Source organism: Homo sapiens, chromosome 12, assembly GCF_000001405.40.
Source record: "Homo sapiens chromosome 12, GRCh38.p14 Primary Assembly".
Lineage (NCBI taxonomy): Eukaryota > Metazoa > Chordata > Mammalia > Primates > Hominidae > Homo > Homo sapiens.
The window spans coordinates 24705906-24729389 of record NC_000012.12 but is presented as its reverse complement, the minus strand read 5'-3'; the positions used below and the strand labels follow the sequence as shown (position 1 = coordinate 24729389).

General features: G+C 40.6%; 1 protein-coding gene and 1 pseudogene across 2 annotated transcripts in view, besides 1 other annotated feature; both read right to left on the bottom strand.

Annotated features, from left to right (window-relative positions):
- Positions 1-23484, bottom strand: part of LOC124902897 (uncharacterized) — a 71084-nt gene that overhangs the window by 46163 nt on the left and 1437 nt on the right. The gene's annotated exons all lie outside the window — the stretch shown is intronic.
- Positions 9627-9686: an enhancer, noted in NCBI's record as "active region_6101". NCBI's record gives its function as "activates an Ori minimal core promoter by ATAC-STARR-seq in GM12878 lymphoblastoid cells {active_cell/tissue: GM12878}" and the evidence as "EXISTENCE:reporter gene assay evidence [ECO:0000049][PMID:35858748]".
- On the bottom strand, positions 22314-22602 carry RN7SL38P (RNA, 7SL, cytoplasmic 38, pseudogene; annotated as a pseudogene).

Genomic DNA, 23484 nt, shown 5'->3' with positions numbered 1-23484 from the left:
GCTGGGACTACAGGCACCCGCCACCGTGCCCGACTGATTTTTTGTATTTTTAGTGGAGACGGGGTTTCACCGAGTTAGCCAGGATGGTCTCGATCTCCTGACCCGTGATCCGCCCGCCTCGGCCTCCCAAAGTGCTGGGATTACAGGCGTGAGCCACTGTGCCCGGCCAATTAATTGTATTTTTTGCCTTCTAGAAAACCTTATGTTGCTTCATATTCTTGTTAACCTGCAAAATTTTTTTTCCAAATTCTCATTTTAAAAGAATAATAGATTTATCTATAAGCAACAGAGACATTTTGTACCCTCATGGTTAGTAGTTTTAATTTTTCGGAAAAATCATGTTACTCATTACGTAATATCTGTAACTAAATTTTAAACTATGGATTGGTACAAGTTTACACAGGCATTAAAATTTCCGATTATTCCTTAGGACATTACATAGGAGTATATGTGTTGTTGATTTTGTTATTAAAACACTTTCTTTCATTAACAATGTACCTCTTCTGTTCAGAAAAATGAAAAGGAAAGAGTACATGACCACATCTTTAAATAGATGTTCAAGTTCATTTAAAAAGATTATTTTTTATTTAAAACATTACAACCTCATCACCTGCAGACTATTTCTTTCATCAAAGTGGCTTAAGATGTATTGCATTTTGATAAAAAACTGCTTCCAATGGCTACAGCATCAAAAAGTAAATACTATGTATTTTATTTACCATGAAAAAGGTAGTGAAAGTTTCCCCAGTTTCTTAATCTGTAATTGGTCACTCTTTCTGTAGAGAGATATTGAGGATGGTAAAATACTCCCAGTACCCACAAGGTGGCATGGCCTTCTTGTTCAATCCAGTTTCATTTATTATTTCTGCTTTATCTGCTACTATATTTTAGATTCTGCTCTTTTATTAAAGTTTTGAATTTCACTTTATGGTTTTATTTTTCTTCACTTGCAGCCAATGGACAGTACTGGAATTTCTAGACAGAAATATATTTTTTAAAGAAATATTAAAGTAAAACTCTTCTACATCTTCTATTGTTTCAGTCCACTTTGGAGCTGACTTTAAATTATTTGACTGTGTATGAAGCCTAGTGATTATAAACTGCCTAATAAACACTAGATACTCAATAAATATTTGCTGTGGAATTTCATGAGTTGTCTTACTGAAAAAAAGGTATTAAAATACTCATTTTTTACCAGAACAATTTATGGATACTTTATATCTTTCCACTTGCTGGTGAAAAAGCTCTGCCTCTTTTGCTCAGGAAGTACTGTTATTTTACGGTATTATAAAAATATGTCATAAATTAGGGTGAAATCTCCATCCTATCTCAATTATAAAAAAGGCACGGTGAATTCACTTCAGTCCTTTACTCAGTAAACATTTGTGGACCCTCTCTCTGTACCCAGCACTGTGCCAAGGGCTGAAGAAAACATAAGGATGAGTAGAACATGGATAAGGGAATAAGCATGTAATTGCAAGAGCAGAATCATCACTCACCCATTCATTCATTCATTCAACAAATATTTATTGAGTTTACTGTGTTTCAGGTGTTATAAGAAGGTAAATAATAAATAAAATGGCCAAAAATCTTACACTAGAGTAGACAGACAATAATCTAGATAAATAAAATAAACACATAAAATGAGTGAACTCTATAGTATGTTCAATAACGATACATGCTAAGGAGAAAACATAAAGCAGAGAGAGGAGAGAAGCCTCTTGGGCCAGGAGAGGATTAGGTTGGCTATATTTTTATTTTGGGTCATGAGATAAGGTCTCTGTCTCTCTCTGCAAAACGACCTGAAGAAGGTACAGAAGTGAACTGTGTGGTTGTCTGGAGGGAAGAACACTCTAGGCAGCAGAGACACTAAGTACAAAGGCTCCCAGTGGGACTGGGTCACTGTCGCGTACTCTGTTGGGGTTGCTAAAACAAAATGCCATCAAATGGGTGGCTTATAAACAACAGAAATGGATTTCTCATAGTTGTAGAGGCTGGGAAGTCCAAGATCAAGGTAGAGTCTCTCTCTGGTGAGGGCCCCCTTTCTGGGTCACAGACTGTACCTTCTCACTGTGTCCTCACATGGTGGAAGGGATGAGAGTCTCTCTGGGGTCTCTTTTATAAGGCACTAATTTCACTTACGAAGGCTCTGCCCTCACGGCCTAATCACCTCCCAAGGGCCCCATCTCTGAATACCATCACTTTAGGGGTTGGAATTTTGGCATATGAGTTATGAGGTGGGTACAAACATTCAGACCACAGCACTCATTTAATGTGTGCTACCCCAGAGTCCTACATAAAATGAGATGGGAGCAAAGGAGACTGAGGGGCTCCTTGAGGAAAGTGAAAGAGGATTTAGCTGAGGAAGAGAAATCTACCCCACACCCAGTGGACAAAGGTGCTCCTGGTTGAGCAAAGCCATAGAGGCATGAAAGCCAAAGATGTGGTTGTGTGGGAAGTAAGAAGAAAAATGAGGCTGTAAATAGGACGAACATATAATAGTCCTGTATGCACAACCCTATTTTATATCCACTTGGGGGGAAAAGCAGTGATTTCACCAGATTAATTTTGAGGGAAAAAAATTTAGGTAAATCATAAAATACAATGAACAGACAATATATGTGCAGGATAATATTAACTTACTCGAATCTGTTTTCCTCTCCAAAAAAAATTTATATTCCTTCTCATTGGGATTACAAAATTTTGACTTCAGGATGCATAAACAGACAGATAGTAAAAGTTTTGAGCATTCTGTATTTTCTAGATATCAGTTCTGCTTTTGTGATAAGGCCCCGGATGCAGTGTCTACCTGGCAATGCACTAAATTTTAGATATCTGAGATCTCTACAATGGATAGCATAAGTCTCTTTTATGAGAGGTTTCGTCAGAGGAAGAGCTCAAGTGATTCTATCTGACGGCTTCTTTTTCTAGGCTTTAAACCTTTAGTGGGGGTCAGATAAGGGGATGGGAAAATATCCCTTGATTGTTTTGGAGAAAACTTAATCTGACACTTTAAATGTTAACTACTTAGGGGCTAAATGAATGTATACATCTGCTGCTGCAGTTATGGTTCTTAGTTTTCGGGTTTTGTTTTTTTAAGGCAATACGGTGGATTTAAATTTCAGGCTCCCACTTCAGGTGTGCAAACTACCATTCATTCTTCTAAAATTCAACTTAATTTCTATTTTCAGATATCATTCCACTGGCATGTGAGGAAACTTAGTTCCAGGACTATTATTGGAACCCTTCCTTCACTGAGGTTGTGGCACTTGATAGTTGTAATTAAGGCCGAGATGTTAGGTGAGGTGGGGTCTGCTCCACACAGACTGACACAGGGAAACTGTCAACCCTCTGTCCACAGGGCACCTCCAGGCCTGTGGGCCCCCTGCTAGTACTTTGACAACTTTGGGAGCAGGAACTTGCTGTTTCCTGGCATGCTAGGGCCAAGGGAATCCTTGCAAGGCCATGCTTCGTCACATACAAATGAATGCTAATTCCCTAACTGGGTTCATGTTCTCACTCCTGGGATTAGCCATTATTTCTTCAGGATCCACTTGTCTTCTTTGCTCTCCTCCCCAGAAGCCAGAAGAAAGTGTTTTGAGGTCTTGAAGGGAAATCCCTCTGCCTTTGTGACTTCCCTACTAGCTGACCTGTAACCTAATTATCATCATTCTCCTAAGTGTTGGGCTGTTGAAAACCAAGTGTATGAAGATCAGAGGATATTTTCTGGCCCCACATAGACCTGTTCTGATTTTCTGTTCTAAGCAGGAAAGGGAAGAAGAGAAACACTAAAAAGAAGGAAAAAAGTATTATTTTACAAATATCATCCTACCCTATTTATATAATTTCGTACACATACAGGCTGTGTACATATATATATATATATATTCATATGTGTGTGCCACTGTAACTAAGGCATTTATTCATATGTGTGTTCCCGTGTTTTTGTGGGAAGGCAAAGTTACTGATCTCTGCTGGGCAATCTTAGGCAACTCCTTTAACATCTTACAGTGTTAATTTTCTAATATATAAATGGTGAACATTAAGGCCTTCAACTCCTAACTGGAAGCTTGTTGTAAGGATTAAATGAGGTAATTGTGGGGACGTGGTCGATCACTAGGCATTTTATATGGTTTGGCTGTGTCCCCACCCAAATCTCATCTTGAATTGTAGTTCCCGTAATCCCCATGTGTCATGGGAGGGACGTGGTACGAGGTAATTTAATCATGGAGGCAGTTACCCTCATGTTGTTTTCGTGATAGTGAGTGAGATCTGATGGTTTTATAAAGGGTTTTTCCCTCTTTTGCTCAGCACTTTTCATTCCTGCCATCATCTGAAGAAGGACGTGTTTGCTTCCCCTTCAGCCATGATTCTAAGTTTCCTGTGGCCTCCCCAGCCCTGTGGAACTGTGAGTCAATTAAATCTCTTTCCTTTATAAATTACCCAGTCTTAGTCAGTCCTTTATAACAGCATGAGAAGGGACTAATACAGCATGTATACACACACATACAGCTCCAAGAACACACTTCTGTTTTTAGTTCAAACACTGTGTTTTGAATTTCAAGTGACCCTATGTTTTCAAGAGCACTAAATTTAGTGACAAAACAAAATTAGTAGACTTCTTAGATAGAATATTAGTTTATATTTTCTTTCCTAGGATGGGTAGGAAATTTCACTATCCTTGCAGATCCTCCTGTTTGTCCCAAACTGTAAATCTCTTCCATTCTGTCTGTTTCCTTCTTAACACGAGTAGCAACTTCACAAAGACATTATGTTGTCCACATCTCTCAGAATGCTGTGGCATGTTCAGGGCTGAAGTATGGGATGATGTATGGAGTAGAGGAGAAGTAGAAGCCAGAGGTTTGCATCTGCCTTTGGACAGCATAGCCCTAAGTTCCAAGCCAGCTTCCATTTCTGTTCCTCAAATGATGGGACTGTGGGAGGCAAAGCCCAGGACATCTGAATGGATGAACTTGCATGGGGCAACAGGAGAGGATCTGGCATTCCAGGCATGCCAGCTGCTTCTCCCCTTCCTGGCCCTTCCCCTGTCTACACTGCATTCACCCCCCAACAGGTTTGCACATACACACACATCAGCAGAGTCCTGTGACCTGGAACAAACAGATGAGGGTTTTCAGATTGTATTATCCCCCACACTTATGAACGTGGCACATTTTAATTCCTGTCTTTTCTTTCTTTTTTTTTTTTCTTTCTGATTCTACTTAGCTATTTTTTCCTCACCCCATTGCTCTAAGAAAGATGAGTGTCAGGTATGGTTTGGGGTTTGTTTGGGTTCTTTGTTCCATAGAAAAATAATAGCTATCACTTACTGAACACTTACTATTTGCCTGGCATTATGCTGAGCACCTTACATTCATTATGTAACTTAATCCCTCAACAAACCTATGAAGTAAGAAGTACTATTTCCTTATTACACTCACAGACAAGCAAACTGAAGTTTAGCAAGGCTAAGTGGCTTGCCCCTGGGTCACATAGTAAGTGGCAAAACCAAGATATGAACCCAGGCAGTCTGGCTCTAGAGCTTATGCCTTAAGCATGACATATGGATAAGGAAACTGAGGTACAGAAGGATTCCAGGTACTCATTCTAAGTTCCAAAGTGAAAAAATGTTTTCGTCCTGATAGTCAATCCAGTATTCCATTCCATTGTCTTTGATCAAGTTCAGATGCCAAGTGGAAGAAAGAGCTTCATTTGGGAGCATTGCTTGCACAAGCCCTGTGCATCAGATTTCAGAGCCCTGGTTTCTTGAGGATGAAGCAGAACCTGTTGCAAGCTTTCCCTGATCGGGTGCCTCAACTCCTTTTCTACATATTGGCAGAGGTGGCTCCAGGACCCCAAACTGAAGCATTTGGGAGGAATAACTTTAAGAAATATATAGTTATAAATACAAAATTAGATGTATTTATTTATTTAGAATGAGACATGAAATCATATCAAGTGACAAATGTCAGAAAGCTAACAAGTACACAAACATCCTGAAATCTATAGGAATCATATTTTTTAATGAGTATAACCTTGTTAATACTTTTTTCCTCAGTTTTTTTTCCTATTTAATTTTCAATGCTTTTTTCTATAACAATAAAAAAGTCAGCCCTTTCCTTAGGATGGTTGATAGATTTTTATTTAATTGCTAGTTGAGATGTACAAAACATTGGCAACTTTATACACAGACACGCTTGCTTTGGGCAGCGTTACTACAGGTTTTTGCCATATCAACACCAGAATTCTGACAATTTCTATTTCACAAACTTTATATTCAAAAAAAAAAAATGTGTAGTGTATTTGTAGTTGTATATACAACATTATCAAGTATTGTATTAGTCTGTTTTCATGCTGCTGATAAAGGCATACCTGAGACTGGGAAGAAAAAGAGGTTTAATGGACTTACAGTTCCACATGGCTGGGGAGGCCTCACAATCATGGTGGAAGACAAGGAGGGGCAAGTCACGTATTACATGGAAGGCAGCAGGCAAAGAGAGAGAGAACTTGTGCAGGGAAACTCCACCTTGTAAAGCCATCAGATCTTGTGAAACGTATTCACTATCATAAGAACGGCACAGAAAAGACCTGCCCCCATGATTCAATTACCTCCCACTGGGTTCCTCCTACAACACATGGGAATTCAAGATGGGATTTGGATGGGGACACAGCCAAACCACATCAAGGATATTCCTGACAGAATAGAACTTCTATTATGACTAAGAATTAAGAAAAACTCAATTCTTTACTTATACATTTACATGTTACAGAAGATTTATTCTCAGACTAACTTGTGATTCCATCAATTTCAAACCTGGGCTGCTCTCTCTTACCCACACGCTTTCAGTGCTGGGTGTCATGGCACCTGTTCCTATCACAATAGAACCTCTGACCTGTACCTCATGGCACAACACCAGGAGAGTCGGCACAGTGGGCAGGAAATAAAACTCAACACTACACTAAAATGGCTAGCAATGTGCCAACTACACATGAATATTGCTTCAAACCACATCAACATGTCCCACTGAACCAAAAAAATGTGCACCTCCACCCAACCTCCCCTTGGAAGATTCAAGAAACAACCATGGCCACACCAACATCATTGGAATGGGGAAAAGTGGAACAGAAAGTTGGAGTAAAGAGGGATAACTTTCTTTTTTTCTTTCTTTTCTTTCTTTTCTTTTTTTTTTTTTTTTTTGACAAGATGTGACTCCATTGCCTGGGCTGGAGTGCAGTGGCACAATCTCTGCTCACTGCAACTCCATGCTCAAGCAATTCTACAATTTCAGCCTCCCAAGTAGCTGGGACTACAGGCATTCACCATCACGCCCAGCTAGTTTTTGTATTTTTGTATTTTTGTATTTATTTATTTATTTTTTTGGTAGAGGCGGGATTTTGCCATATTGCTCAGGCTGGTCTCAAACTCCCAGACTCCAGCAATCCTCCTGCCTTGGTCTCCCAAAATGTTGGGATTACAGGTGTGAGCTACCATGCCCTGCCAAGATAGCTTTCTAAACCAAAATATATATACTTAATATCTTATTTAAAAAAAACCCTCATGGCACATATTTCTTTACCCACTCTCAGATTTTTGGATAGAAAGAAACTATGTGAAGGAAGGACCCTGGAGCTTAAACTTCATGAGCTTTATTGGGCAAAGGAAGTCTTTCTAACCATTATGATATTTTTTTCTTCATATGAAAAGAGAATGAGTATTCTTCCCTTTTGGACCATATTTAAGGAGCGTTTTTCTCAAACTTCTTTGTAATAAAACCTTGACTGCTTAAGATGTATTTGTACTTGGTTCATCATTAGCTGTTGAGGCATTTTTTGCATACCCATCTTTTTTGGACATAGGGTCATGAGAATTCAATTTAAAAAATCACAAGTCCTTGAATATTCTCAATTTATCTCTGTGACACTAGGCTTTAAAGAAAGCAGGGGCAGAGTTGGAACTTGACTAGCAAATGACCACAGTTATGGTTGTAATACTAGTCAATTATGACATAAAAATACAGTGAGTCACAGTGGGACACCAACCTAACTTATTGGAAGCAAAAAAAAAAAAAAAGTTAACCAGTTGTTTTGTTTTCCTATATAAACAGCTGGTTTAATTTTCACATTAGATAAATTCATAAATTTCCTCATATGTATAATGAACAAAGTCCTGCCTCCTCCTAAACTGAACAGAAACCATGTTTATTTTGCTTACTCTCATGTCCCCAGTTTCCAGAATGTTAGCAACTACAGGGTAGTTAATATATAAATATTTGGTGAAGGAATGAAATCAGAAGACATCAATTATTCAGCTTGAGTTATTTCTATGCCACATACAAATACACATGTCCTATGGCTGCCATAGCAAATTATCACAATTTAGTGACTTAAAACATTATACATTTATTATCTACAATTCTGAAGGTCAGAAGTCTGAAATGAGTTTTATGAAGCTAAAACAAAGCCATCAGCAGGGTTTATTCCTTGTGGAGGCTCCAAGGGAAAATCTATTTCCTTGACTTTTCCAGCTTTTAGAGGCTTCCTGCTTGTCTTGGCTCATGGCCCCCTCCTCTATCTTCAAAGCACATGGTTCCAACCTCAGATTCTTTTATCCCATCTCCTTTCTGATGTTTGATAGGGAGATGGGACAAGAGATCTTGCCTCCCTCTTATAATAAGGACCCTTGTGATGACACTGGGCCCACCTCGATAATCCAGAGTATTCTCCCCATCTCAAAACATTTAGCTTAATTCCATCTGCAGAGTCTCTTTAGCTACATAAAGTAAGATTTTCACAGGTTCTGGAGATGTGGATGTAGACATCTCTGGGGGCCATTATTCTGTCCACACAGTTTGAGAAATCACTCCCAGAATATTTGTTTTTAGGGACAGTTACTGGAATTCATTGAATTTAGACCTGGTTTCTGGGCTAGTATTTTGTCATTGAGACAATACTTTTACTAAAGCAGAAATTTTTAAAAAGCACTTTAATGTCAAGAGAGATTTACTGGACACAAAGACCACAAAGAGGTCTATATTAATACTGAGAAGCAATATAGACTTGGGGGAAATTTGCTCTCTTTATTGTAGCAATTTATAATCTGGATGAATGGATATATCACAGATATTTGATTCTCACCACCCCTCCCGTATCAGTTTTTTCCTTATTGCCTCTACAGTTCTGGGAGATACTCAATATGCTGTATGAGTAAGGACTTGCTCTTCTCTGTTGCCTCTCTTCTCCTCTGTATGAGTTACACTAAAACTAACTTGGCTCAAGTGACAAGATGAAGATACTTGTTTAATGGTGTTTCTCAGAGAGCAGACAACAACTTAATTAAAGAGGGCATATGATAAATGAAAATATTTTCAGGAGAATATGAGTTACAAATTACCTCAATACAAATTAATAAGCAACGGAACTCCTGACACAGTCTAGGTGCTCAATAAATATTTGTTGAACTAATTACACATTTATATGTAGTATGAGGATTACTTCACCTCCATACAGCAGCTCACTTCTATAGACACCTTGGCTGGGATGTAACAGTGACTCTAAAGGCACAAACTCCACAGTTAAATGATGAAAAGACAAAAACAAGAAGGAAGAGGTCCTGGGATCTAATGAGGACCTTGTGGACAATGAGCATGAAGAAATTCTTTTGAGAGCTGGGGTCTCCCATTGCACATTGGAACATCATAGTGCCAGTGCCTAGGTCTGACTCAACAAAGCACCACCACTGAGTCATCTGACCACTTCCTGGGTTTTCCCCCTTGAAGCCTTCACACCCAGGGTCTGCATGCACCCCACCCTGCAGGGGATGATCTCAACTGGGTTCATTAACTAAAGCCTTGACAGACCCTTCTGATGTAATGGTCCCTGTGAAACCCAGAGTCCCATCTCTGGAGACTGTGAGGGAAGAGGGTTTAAGCAATGACAATTAGTTGGGAATTTTTTCCTTCATGTCATCTGTGAGAACCATCTGACCTCACAAGCAAGACTCTCTGTGGTGAGAAAGGGTGGTGTGTGCCTTACAGGAAATTCGAAAATGACTTCAGGGCATTACATACATGATTAGCAAGAGGGTAAAATATAGGATTGGAATCTTGCTTCTGATTTTTAGAGTAGAAAGAAAATTGGGCTAGGGCGGGGGAAGAGAGGTCACTGAGGAAGGGTGTATTTGATGATACAGCCTGAAGGAAAAAGAGCTCTCCATAGCCTTCCTCATTTCTTCCGCAAATATTTATTGAGCACTTGGGATGGAGCAAGTCACTGTTCTAGCCCTTCCTCCTCCTCATCCCTGTTTTCTCCTCCTGCCAACTTTCTTTTTGTTGTTCCGAGTTTGAATATTTTTCACACTCAGAGCTGTATAAACTTCTCTTCATCACCAGATTCTTTGATCTATGAACAATAGCAGCTCTTTGAATAGCAGAATAGGAATATCTGTTTCATAATTTCACTTTTTCTACAGACTTTGAACATCACCATGTCAGGAAAACGTAAAGTTAAAGGGTTCCCATGGTTTGACCACACCCTGACCTCCTTTTGGTTTTCTTATTCCCTTTTCATAGTGTTTTTATTTTTTACCCAATTTGGTCACACTCTTTTGAGGCTAATTATATACTGGCCTTGCAATCTTCACAAGATTTGCACATGACAAGTTCTGATTTGCTTGTTAGTCAGTGAAGGCAATCTTCAAAATGAAGCTTCATAAATAACCAAAAGGAAGATTTCATACTCAACAGTAAAGCTAATTTATACTTACAAGGATTTTTCCATGATGCATTATACAGTGTTAGGCATAATATTTTAATCTCCTACACTTTAACACACATTTCAGCCATCCTGACTTTGATTGACCTATGGCGTCTGGATGCTTCATAATGTATTGTGGAACATACAGCACTACATCATATTATGGGCTGTAATGTGTTATTATGCAATTTCTTCAGACTCTCTCTCCTTCACTTTCTTTTTTTTCTTTTTCTTTTTTTTTTTTGAGACAGAGTCTCACTCTGTTGCCCAGGCTGGAGTGCAGTGGCAAGATCATGGCTCACGGCAGCCTCAACCTCCTGAGCCCAAGCAATCCTCCCACCTCAGCCTCCTGAGTAGCTGGAACTACAGGCACGCACCACCACACCTGGCTATTTTTTTTTTTTTTGTATGTTTTGTAAAGATAGGGTTTCACTATGTTGCCCAGGCTGAACTCCTGGGATCCGCCCATCTCGGCCTCCCAAAGTGTTGGGATTACAGGCATGAGCCACCGCGCAGGGCTTCTCCTTCACTTTCTTACTCATATGTACACACACACACGCACGCATGCACAAGCATCTATGCACACACACACAGTTAGATGCTTATATTAAGTGGTCCCCAAACTTAAGTGATATTTCTCCCTCTTCTATGACATTGCCCACTAGTTATTTTCTGTTAGCTGAACAAAAGCAATTCCATTCATTTCTGAGAGACTCTAAAGACGTGTTTACATAGATAGCAACTCATGCCAACAACCTAAATGTGGAATCATTCTTCCTAGGTTTCCCTCAGCACTCACCATATAGTACCATCAATGATCTAACCAAAAAATAACCTGTTCAGAGAAAATGTGTTGTCATAAACAAGGTGCACAGAGATCTGGGTTCTAGAAATTGCTCAACTGTTAATTAGCATTGTGACCTTCAGGAACTCATTTAACCTTTCAGAACCTTTTAAACCTCTCCTATCTACTTCCTGGGTTAGGAGGATACAATAGGGTAATGTCTGTGAAAGGAGCCTAAACGACTGAATCGTTCACATGAGCAACTTTTAAAGTCAACCCTATCCAACTTTGCAGAGCTGTTTTAGAATAAAAAATTATTTCTTTGTGCTCAACCATATCAGTTGTAAAACTATTTTAGAAGTGGGGATTGATTAACTTTTAAGGCAACCAACCACATTTATTCAAAGAAACTGTATGAGCACACTATATTAGGCACTACAAAATCCTAATTTGTTTACATTCCAAGATTCAAATTCAGGCCCCTTCTGTGACACTCAAATTCCGCACCTCTATACCTAATCAGACTCAGACACTTTACAAAATACTGACAACTTGTGACAGCTGTAAGTATAGCTATCCTTCAAAAATCCAGGTGGACAGAGACTTCGCTTTTCATAGGATTTCCCACATACACAACCAATTAAGAGATTAAAAGGACATACCAGTTTTAAAATGTGTTATTCACTGACACAGGCAGTGTTCTGGCACTGTGTTTTGACTGCACTGACAGGAGCATATTTATAGGGAAGAATTCCACCTAGATTCTTTTGTTCAGCTCATTACAATTGATTTGTTACTGGTGTAAACTCAGGATTATTATAATAATTAGTGCAGACATTAATGTAATGAAATAGTGTTTTCCAGCTAAAGTAATATTCAAACGCAAGCCTGGTTTTCCTCCACTGTTAACTGGAGTCCTCCGAACACTCCGAGACTGAGGCGGTTCTTGATGCTCCATATTAAGCCGAGGTTCCTTTACTTTTATTCTTTTTTTGGTTTCACTGTTGAACCTTTCTAGGTCGCAATTACACTTAGTTTCTATAATGCAGTGCCAATGAAGTGACAAACGCTATCGCATAAGTCAAAGGCAGGATTTGGAGAGTGCAGGTGTTCAGAAGTTTGCACACCATGCAGTGTTTGACTGTGGGATTCATTATGGCTTACGGGAAGATAGCAGCCCTTGAAGGGCTCCAGTGACAGAAACACATTTGCAGCTTGCTGCCAAGCCATACAGATGTGGAGGCAATGTTTAAAATCATCTAATAGAGATGTGTTCAAGATCACCTGAGCCACCTTTGTGGCTCTAGGGCCAGGTTTGTTAGAGCCACAGGCTCACACACCTGCCAAGAAGTGTGAACACCCCTCCAGGTCTTTGTAAAATGCATCTGTGTGTAACTTTTGATAGCTTTTACAAAACATGCAATTACTGTTCAGAGTGACTTTCCTTCAGCTGCTTTCTAGTCATGGGAAGTAGGTGGAAACATTTCTCAGTGGGCTGGAATTCCAAATGCCACTTGGATCCTGGGCTATGGGCCTTTTTATATTGTTTGTGCATGTATTTCAGGCATGTTCGAGCTGAGGGGCTTAGCGTTCAAAGGGCACGTAGTCTGGAAAAATCACAGGTTTCTGTTAAAAATTCACCTTTGTAATAAATGTGGGAATGGCGATTTGAAGTAAATAATAAGAAATCATTAAGTTGTGGTGAACAAAATGTGCCAATTTGCTCTGACATTTCACAGTATCAATTGCCTTCTTATGTGTCAAAATCATGAATAAGATTTTTTTGGGAGGGGGGTGTTGGAATGATATGTTGAGTTGCAAACTCGTTAACAGTAGTCATTGGAAATGGAAGAAAATGGTGTTGAAGTAGTTGCTGCAGCCTTGGTGGTAAAGGGAATGAGGAGGCTTACCACAGCTTTCTCCTGTTGCCTGAAGCCTGAGACCCTGTAACAATCTCCAGGACAGTCACCTGAGAGGGAGACCCACCTGCATCTGAGCTGGGGGACTCTGGGCTTTCATAGCTTTAGAGATTTGGGAGTTGCAAATCAAATTCTTCATATTTGGCCATATGAAAAACATTCACCCTCAGAAAACTTGAGTGGAGGCAATGGTGACCATTTTACATTAATTTATTTTGGTCTGCGGTTAATTCTCTAGCAGCTTCAGTTAGCACTGGAGTCTTTCAGCACCACGGATCCTTTCTTCTATCACATGAACCTTCTTTTCTCCTTCACCCTTCAGGTCCAGCTCTGTACCTTTCCTCAGAAGTCCCCTTGCGGGCACTTCTTTCCATTGGAACTGCTCCGTTGTGGCACAAGAATTATATTTGCTCTCAGGCCAGAGGGTGTGAAATTCTTTCCTAAGGTTATGACCTTCCAGAGGAGACCCTGGCCCTCATTCTAGGAAGTCACGGCTTGCAACATCCTCTCAGGGAAGTTTTTGACAAATCACACTGTCAGCGATGATAAAGAATAGTAAAAGTTCAAGTCAACCCAGTGCTCTTGCTGAAGGCCTGGCCTTGTCAAGGCTTCTGGTGCAACCTGCAACCTGCTGCCTCAACCCCACCCCCATGCCTCCACAGACTCTTCCTTGCTAGCAATGAATCACGTGCCTCTGCTTTCCCAATTGAACCCTACTGAGTCTCTTCGGCCTCTGGGCTTCTCAGCCTGGATCTTTGCTGTGGAGAGCCTTGGCAGGACTGACGCTGTTTCTCCAGGTATGTTTTACGCTATTAACAACACTGTTTTTAACAGCTGTATAGAAGCTTCGCACAAGAGAGCACCGATTCCATTTGTATGAAATTCAAGAATAGGCCAACTAATCTATGGTGACACAGATCAGATCCCCTGTGAGGGTCAGAGTGTTTTTCAAAGAGGGCAATTTCTGGGTGATAGAAATATTTTATATGTTGGCTGGGCTGTTGGTTATACAAGAAAATACATTTGTCAAAACTCATTGAACTGAATACTTAATATCTGTGCATCTCACGGTTTATAAATTTTACCGCAGTAAAAATAAAAACTGTATCATGGGGGGAAAAAGAATAATGAAAGTTCCAGTTACACACAGTTAATAATGACAAGAATCAAAATGTGTAGCGAGTCTAGCTCAGGAAATACCTTACTTAGAGATATTATTCTTTTCTCTCCTTTCCTTTCCTTTCTTTTCCTTTCCTTTCCTTTCCATTCCCTCCCTTCTTTCCTTCCATCCGCCCTTCCTTCCTTCCTTCTTTCCTTCCTTCTTATTACATTACTTCTGTGTGCTTGTATATCAAAAAACAAATGGTACGTTTCAATGAAGTGATTTGCATGGAGTTTAATAAACGGGCTATTGGCAAGCATTTGCATGGACTGGAGTAAGGAAATGAACAAGGTGTAGTGCACAACTGTGGGTCTTAGTAACAGCGGGGAGCCACTGCCACCCCTAGGCCTGAAGGGATAACAGTCAGAAGAGTTCCTGCAACCCAGAAAGGAATGCTCTATGGAGCAGGCCTCCTGAGAGGAGCCACGGCCTTAAAGAAAGGGACACAGCCGGCCGGGTACGGTGGCTCACGCCTGTAATCTCAGCACTTTCGGAGGCCGAGGCGGGTGGATCACGAGGTCAGGAGTTTGAGACGAGCCTGGCCAAGATGGTGAAACCTCGTCTCTACTAAAAATACAAAAATTAGACAGGTGTGGTGGTGCACGCCTGTAGTCCCAGCTACTTGGGAGGCTGAGGCAGGAGAATCGTTTGAACCCAGGAGGCGGAGGTTGCAGTGAGTCGAGATCATGCCATTGCACTCCAGCCTGGGCAACAAGAGCGAAACTCTGTCTAAAAAAACAAAAAAACAAAAAACAAAAACAAAAAAAAAAAAAGAAAGGGACACAGCCAATTCCCAGCTACTTGGCTCATTTCCAGACCTTATTGTCTTCTTACCTCTCAGTGCCCAGCCGGGGCCTCCCAAAGACCTACACAACCAGAAGCTAACTAGAAGGGAGCTTGCAGTCCGGGCTCCCAAGATACAGAGCTAGGAGAGGGGTGAAAAGTGGATGTGGGGGACAAGCCAAGGATGTACAGCCCCACTGGTCACTGGAGTACCCCCGGTGTTATGAATACAGCAAAGGCAAAAAACCCTGCTACTCAGGAATCATACATCCTTGATGGAGGCACTAGAAAAAAAAAAGGAGGACTAAAATATGTAATCAATACGTGGGCACAGAGAAGACAGAGCGTCTAAACCAGATGGAAAACTGAGACAGAGCGGGTGTTGGAGACAAGGCTGGGGAGCACTGTCATCAAAGGCTTCCTCCAAGAGGCATGGCCTCTGCTCAGTCTTCAATAGGGTGCAGGTAGAGATGGAAGAGAGCACATGAGAGTGGGTGGGACAGCTCGTACAAAGGCCAAGCAGTGAGAGGCTGGTTCCATGTTGCAAAGACTGGACCATATGGTAAAAGGACAAGAGGCTGGAGGTGAAGCTGGAAGAGAAGACGAGGGCCAGGTCACAGACAGTGGTGGTTGGGTGCAAACTTCATTCTGTGGACAATAGATAGCCACTGAGATAGTCTCAGTAGGCAAGCAACACAGCCAAATGTCACTTTCAAAGATTGTGCAGTAATGAGGCAGTGTCTGTGCTGGTTTGAGGTGAGGTGAGATTGGAGTCTGGAGACGAGTTAGGAGCTAAGAGTGAGAGAGTCAGTGGGAGGCAAAGAGAGAGACACACAGAGCACTCCTCTCCAAAGCCTGGAACACCCATACCTGGCTTTCCCTCTCTGTATCCACACAACGTACACATTCCCTGCCCATGTAAGCTGCTCCTACTCCTGAGCCATGCCAAGAAGGAATGTGTCTTTCCATCAGTGGACTCCTCAAACTAAATTTTGTTTGAGCTCCCCTCCCTGGTGTCTCTTCTCTGCTAGGGCTGGGCTGAATGTTCTTCTCCAGGCCCCCAAAGGACTCCCAGGTTCAAGCTGTTCTCCAGGCTCCCAAAGGACTCCCAGGTTCAAGCGATTCTCCTTGAGAATAAACCCCTATGTCCTAACATTTACAGCATTACAGTGAAAGGAACTGCTCATGTCTCTATTCCACCCACTGAGAAGTGAGGTTCTTGGAGGCTGGGGCCTCATCTTTTGTACCCCTGTATCTGCAGATCTTGGTCCACAGTAGGTTTTTTATAAGTTCCCTGCCTTAAATTGAACTGAACTTCTGACCTTTTCTCTGCCTAAGCTCCCAGCTTTTGGAAAGATGGAGTTGGAGAGAGAAAGAGCATCCTCTTGACTGGCCAGATTCACTGAATTGACCCTGAGGCTCCAAAGGGTGACAGATAGTACAGTCAGATCACATCACATGTGAATTCCCACCCAGATGTCTTGGTTCTCTAAAGTTCCCTTTACCCCAGAGTTATTTCTTACCTTCTGAAGATCCAAGAGCAACATCAAGTGAAATAGTATTTTGGAGAAATTTGTGAACTATAAAGAGACACATAGCATTGACTTATTGTATATCAGGTATATTAATTAATAATTAATTTCTTTCTTTTCTTTCTTTTTTTTTTTTTTTTTTTTGAGATGGAGCCTCACTCTGTTGCCCAGGCTAGTGCAGGGGCATGACCTCAGCTCACTGCAACCTTCACCTCCCAGGTTCAAGCAATTCTTTTGCCTCAGCCTCCTGAGTAGCTGAGACTACAGGTGCCTGCCACCATGCCGAGCTAATTTTTGTATTTTTAGTAGAAACTGGGTTTCACCATGTTGACCTGGCTGGTCTCAAACTCCTGACCTCAAGTGATCCACCCACCTCGGCCTCCCAAGGTGCTGGGATTACAGGCGTGAGCCACGGTGCCTGGCCAATAATTAATTTCTTAGATACCTGGATATAGTCAGTTTACATATGAACACAGGAAACACTGAAAAATATACCAATCAGATCAGGCAGTCTCCAATAAAGCCTGAAGCATAAGGGTTCAAATCTGCTATATGTGCTCTTCTATCCTAAATTTCCTCAAGAAAAGATGAAATAATCCAAACAGTGAGGCAATGCTGCTGGCCTGGCTATCCCAAAGGACGTAGTGGTGGAAGGATGTATTACAAGGAGACAGTTGCTAGGAGGGTAAAGGCAAATTAGAAAGTTACAATTTACTGGCATGTACTTTTGGGGCCAGACAGCTTATCTTTAATGCTCATTACAGTCAGGTAGCGTAGATGTAATTTTTATCCTCATTTTACAGATAGGTTCTCTGAAGTTAAAAATTAGTTTTTTCATTCACCAGACACTTATTGGGCCCCTATTAGATGGCAGGCACTGTGTTAGTTCAGCACCTTTTCGAAAGCCACTCAGCAGAGCTGGGTTCTGAACTCTCATCGGTCTATATGTCGAAAGACTGTGATCTTTTCACTACACAGTTTTCCTTTTCCAGCCCACTCAGTGGTAGCTTTGGAGCAAGATTTCCATTGTATTAGTAAAACAGTGACTTTTTGGGACACTGTGTTAGTGCAATATTTTCAAACTTACAGGGTTCAGATAGCATCTCACCTAAAGCTCCCAGCATTTTAACACCAAGTCTGCTGAAGCTGCAGGCAGTCTAATTCAGTCTTGTGCACAGTTCTCTATGTGGGCAGCATGCATCTGTAGAAGCTTTCAGTGGGCGGGATTTAATTCCCCATACTTTTAGTTATGTTGTTACTGGGACTTTAATATGTCCTGAGTTTTGACAGAGCAATTATAAAACACATGTTAGTTATTTCTGTGACAAATATAGGCTCCATGGATGCCTTGAATAAACTTTTCTTTCCTTCATACTGTACTACACCCAACCCTCCCCTTCACGGCTCCCTGTGGCCTACTTCAGGGCAATTAATAAGAAAAATATCTTCCCTTCTCACACCTCTCAGATATTTTAACTTGAATGGGACTCTTATGGCTGGTGGCCACCAGCTTCAACATCGCTCCATGCTATTTTCAAAGATTGTTGTGAAATGTGTGGGAACAAAGTCACAAGGCCCACCACTGTGTGCTCAATAGTATAATGGCCATGCCAGTTGCAAGCCATACTGCAAAGACCAGTTTAAAAGCAAGCTCCCAGAGAGTGAAACACTGGGTTTGATGACATCAAAGGTAGATGCTTCTCCTTCCATGGGTCTCTGTTCTCCTCTACGGATTTTCCACCATCAAAGTACCTCTCTATGAGCGAAGTCAAATCTTTCTTGAAGCCACAAGTGAATAATTCAATTAATAATTAATTTTTGTTTATTTAGAAAGCTATGGGAGATTAAGGGAAAAAATCTAATTATAAAAATAAGAGCTAAAATTTATTTAGTTCCTATTATTTTTGAATACTTACTATGAGCTAGACAGTATGCTAAGGAATTTACGTACATCTAATTTTACCCTTACAAAAACTCCTATACCATAACAAAATTCAGCCATTCATTCATCCACTCAATCAGTCATTCAGTCATTCAACAAACATGCCCTTAGCATTTACTACATGTGAGGTACTATTCTAGGTCTTGGGAATACAGTTTTGAATAAGATACAGGTCTGGGCCGGGTGTGGTGGCTCATGCCTGTAATCCCAGCACTTCGGAAGGTTAAGGCAGGCAGATCACAAGGCCAGGAGTTCAAGACCAGCCTGACCACCCCATCTCTACTAAAAATACAAAAATTAGCTGGGAGTGGTGGCACATGCCTGTAGTCCCAGCTACTCGAGAGGTTGAGGCAGGAAAATTGCTTGAACCTGGGAGGTGGAGGTTACAGTGAGCTGAGATTGTGTCACTGCACTCCAGCCTGGGTGATAGAGCAAGACTCCATCTCAAAAAAAAAAAAGAAGACTCAGGTCTGATTGAGTTAAAATCTAGCCATGAAAGCAGATAGCAAACAAGAAGGTAAAGATAATTTCAGATAGTAATGAGTGGCATAAAGAAAATAAAATGGGATGGTGCAATAAAGATTGACATTACATAGAGTAATCAGGAAAGAACTCTTTGAGGCTGTGCCAGACCTAAGTGATAGGACAAAGTCAGATGTACTTTTATCTAAGAGAAGAACACTCTTAAAAAAAGCATAAGCACAGAGATCCTGGAATTGTAAATAAATTAAGAGAAACAGGAAGAAACCTAGTCTGGCCGGACCATAGTTAGCAAATGAGAGAATATTAGATTAGGGATAAGATCATAGATTAGTGCCGGTACTTACAAGGCTTTGTAGGCTATGGAAGGAATTAGATTGTATTCTGAGGATCAGAACAGGAGAGTGGTGTGGTCTGATTTATAATTTTAAAAGATCACTACGGAAAATGACGTGTAGGCATCTGAGATTATAAACAGAGAGATAAGTTACAGGACTATTGAATAGTTCAGGAGAAAGATCAGGGTGGTTTAGACTCTGGTGGTAGACATGAAAATGATTGCATATTCAGGACAGAGGCAGGAGAAGTTTTGGAGGTGGAGCTGTTAGGCATTAAGATAAATGTGGGTGAAGATGATGGGAAGAAAATGAAGGATGACTCATAGTTTTCAGCTTGAGCAGTTAAAGTGTGTCATAATTGAGAGGGGAATGAGTGGGGGAAGAGTGGGGTTTTTTGTGTGTTCTTTTTGGTGGGGATGGGTTGAGGAAAATCCAGTTTTGTTTGACATGGATTTTAGGCATTCAATAAAGATGCCAAGTTGGACAGATGGGTCTAGCACCTGGCAGAGCAGTCAGGGCTGGACATATAAATTTGGGAGTTATTAGCATTTTAACTTTCAGGTAAAGACTTGGGACTGAATGTGATATCCTAGCAATAATGCAGAAAAGGAAGAAAAGAGTTCAGGCCTGAGTTCTAAGTCACTTCAAGACTTAAAAGTTAGGTAGAGAGAGAGGATCTGGCAGAGGAGTTTAAAAGGGAGAGGCCAGTAAAGTAGGTAGAAAACCAGGAGAGAGTGGAGTCACCAGATGCCAAGAGATGACAGTGAAGGAAAGTGATCTCTCATGTTAGTTGATGTTGACAGGTTGAACAAGATAACAGCAGAGAGTGACGATGGAATGACATGGAAGCCAAGGAAAGTGAAGCTTGAACAGAGAGAAATGAGAATTGTGGAAGTAGGACTAGACAGAGGCATAGACAGATAGAGTCGCTTGCTCAGAGTTTGAACCAAATTCAAGATTTGAACCCAGGGAGTCTGATTTCAAAGCTAGACTAATAAACTTATCTCTGTGTCTGGGAAAAGGATAAAGTCATCCCTATCCCTTCTTTTATGAGTAACCACTGCTCAGTGACATTAGAAAGACAATGAACTGTGGATGTTCTCTGATCTAGAGAAGGGCTGTGTAACTCTGACCAGATAGGCACTGTGGGGCAGATTGTGCCAGGAAAGGCAATATGGTAGGAGATATTTTGAGAGAGCATCTTTCAAATTACATAGTTTAATTATTTACATATGTATAGCTCTTTACATTTCATAAAGCATTATATTATACATTCTCTCATTTGATTTCCACAGCAACCCAGTAAGTTAGAAATAGTTCCAACAAGAAGGCATATACCTGAAGGGCAATTCATGAGAAAAGCAGGGCCAAGATTCCAGTTACATGTGAATCATTTGAGAGATTAAATCATTTTTGTTTGGTTTTCTGTCAGCATAGCTAGTTTGACCTCTGTCTTGATATGAATGCTGAAAACCCTCTACTATTATACTATGCACTCATCAATTCATCCACTCATTCATCCACCTGTCCACCTATCCATCCATTTGTGAGAACTGCACTGCACACCTGGCTTTAGCTTTGTCATAAGGTCTTCATCATCAAATCCTGGTTCTTATCCTTGAGCAGTGTATGCTCGTTGAGAAGAAAAAGTAACAAAAGTACATAAAGACAGCATTGGCTATGATCAACATACAGACATGTATGGTGCCTTATGTGCCAGGCACTTAACTCTCTTTTCTTCCTTTCCTGCATTATTGCTAGAATATCACATTCAGTCCCAAGTCTTTACCACCTATAAGTTAACATGCTAATAACTCCCAAATTTATATGTCCAGCCCTGACTGCTCTCCCGGGTGCTAGACCTATCTGTTAATCTGTTATCTGCCAGGGTTAATACAGATCAAAATTTGCTGGTCAGAAGAAGCATGATAAAACCCAAAGAAGAAATTGGTCAGTTTGCTCTGAATGAGGTAAAATGACTTCATAGAAGTGTTGCCAGATTGGATTGATGGATTTTAAGGTACAGGGGTAGATGCAAGGAAGGGAAGGTGTTGCAAAAGATTTACCACCAATTCTTCAGGCAGAAGGAGTAACATGAGTGAGGGCATGGAGGGGTGAAACAATGTCGGTGTGTTTGTGCAATTGCAGTTAGCTTAGCATGTCTAAGCACAGGCTAGAGATAGAGGGTGGGTAAAGTGATAAATAAGATTACATCAGTGTTAGTAATAGCTAATGACAACACAATAATTATTTCACTGAAACTTCAGACAAACCCAATGAGATGAATACTACAATTTCTCCCATTTTACATATATGAAAACTGAGGCATTAAGAATTTAAGTAATTTGCTCTAGATCACAAAGCTAGGCAGCTGAAATGAGATTTGAACCTAGGCAAACTGGTTCCAGAGTTCCATTCCTCAAGCACCACATTGAAGACCTATTTTGCAATTCTAAAATTTGTTTTTTTCTCTACAGGAAATGGGAATCCAGTGAAATTTCATATGCAGTCACTTTAGTAGAATCTCATGGTTCCTTGGGTAGAATTCAGGCTTTTCTGGATAGAATTCAGGGTATCTATGAACTTGGATAGAAAAAATATGTATATATATTTTAACAATAGGGTCTTGCTATGTTGCCCAGGCTGGAGTGCAGTGGCTATTCACAGGCGATCCAACTACTGATCAGCACCGGAGTTATGACCTGCTCTGCTTCCGACCTGGGTCCATTCACCCCTCCTTTGCCAGCCCCGTAGGCCCCGCTAACAGGAGGTTACCATACTGATGCTGAACTTAGTGCAGACACTCAACTGGCATAGCTCACTACAGCCCAGAACTTTTGGGCTCAAGGGTTCCTCCTGCTTCAGCCTCCCAAGTAACTGGGACTACAGGCACATGCCACCATGCCCAGCTACATCTTTATACAAATGTCTAACTGTACCATAGTGTTTTCTTAAACTATTAATTTAGGTAAAAAATGTCAGTAGTATTCATGGCACCTGTGACTGAAATATTTTCACATCTCATCAAATTTGTTTTTGGTATCTTGAAATGATATTTACACTCTGTGCTACTCAAAATTACAATAGTTATTAGACCTGATACTAGATCTTATTATTTAATGCATTAATGAGGATATGCATACATTATTATATCACGAATTTATTTTTAAAATTTAGATAGCTGTATTTCAATGTAACTTTTTTGTAATTCTCTACATTTAAAATCATTATTAAGAGAAGAGATCCACAGGCTTCTCCAGTCTGCCAGAAGAATCAAGGTACACATACATTTGATATAGTTCAAATTCCCATGCTATATAAAAATCCCCTTGATTCCATTATTTAGAGGCAACTGTGTGGAATTAGTTTGTTTCCAGTGACTGGGGAGTTCACTAATAAATAAATACCTATTGTTTCTTTAAAGCTCAAAAATTTTAAAGAATTCTTTTTTATATTGGAAGTTATAACTGCTTTGTTAGACTTTCTCTTCTCTCCTCACTTTTAGAATTGCCCTTCCCTCTTGAGCTACATTCCTTTTAAAAAATGTGAAAAATTTCTGTCTGGTTTCTTTGAAATCTGTTTTCCTGAAGGCCGAAGTGGCTTTCTGACTCTTCCCAGAATTCCCACTGCTCACTCTTACAAATCTCCAAAATATAGGGGTAAATATCTCACAAATTTCCTGTCCCTGACGCATCATCATCTAGCCCTTCCCTGAAATTCATAGTTAAGTTGCAGTTCCCCTTATCACTTCCTCAAACATCTGAGAGATGAAACTATTAGTAAAGCGAGTCA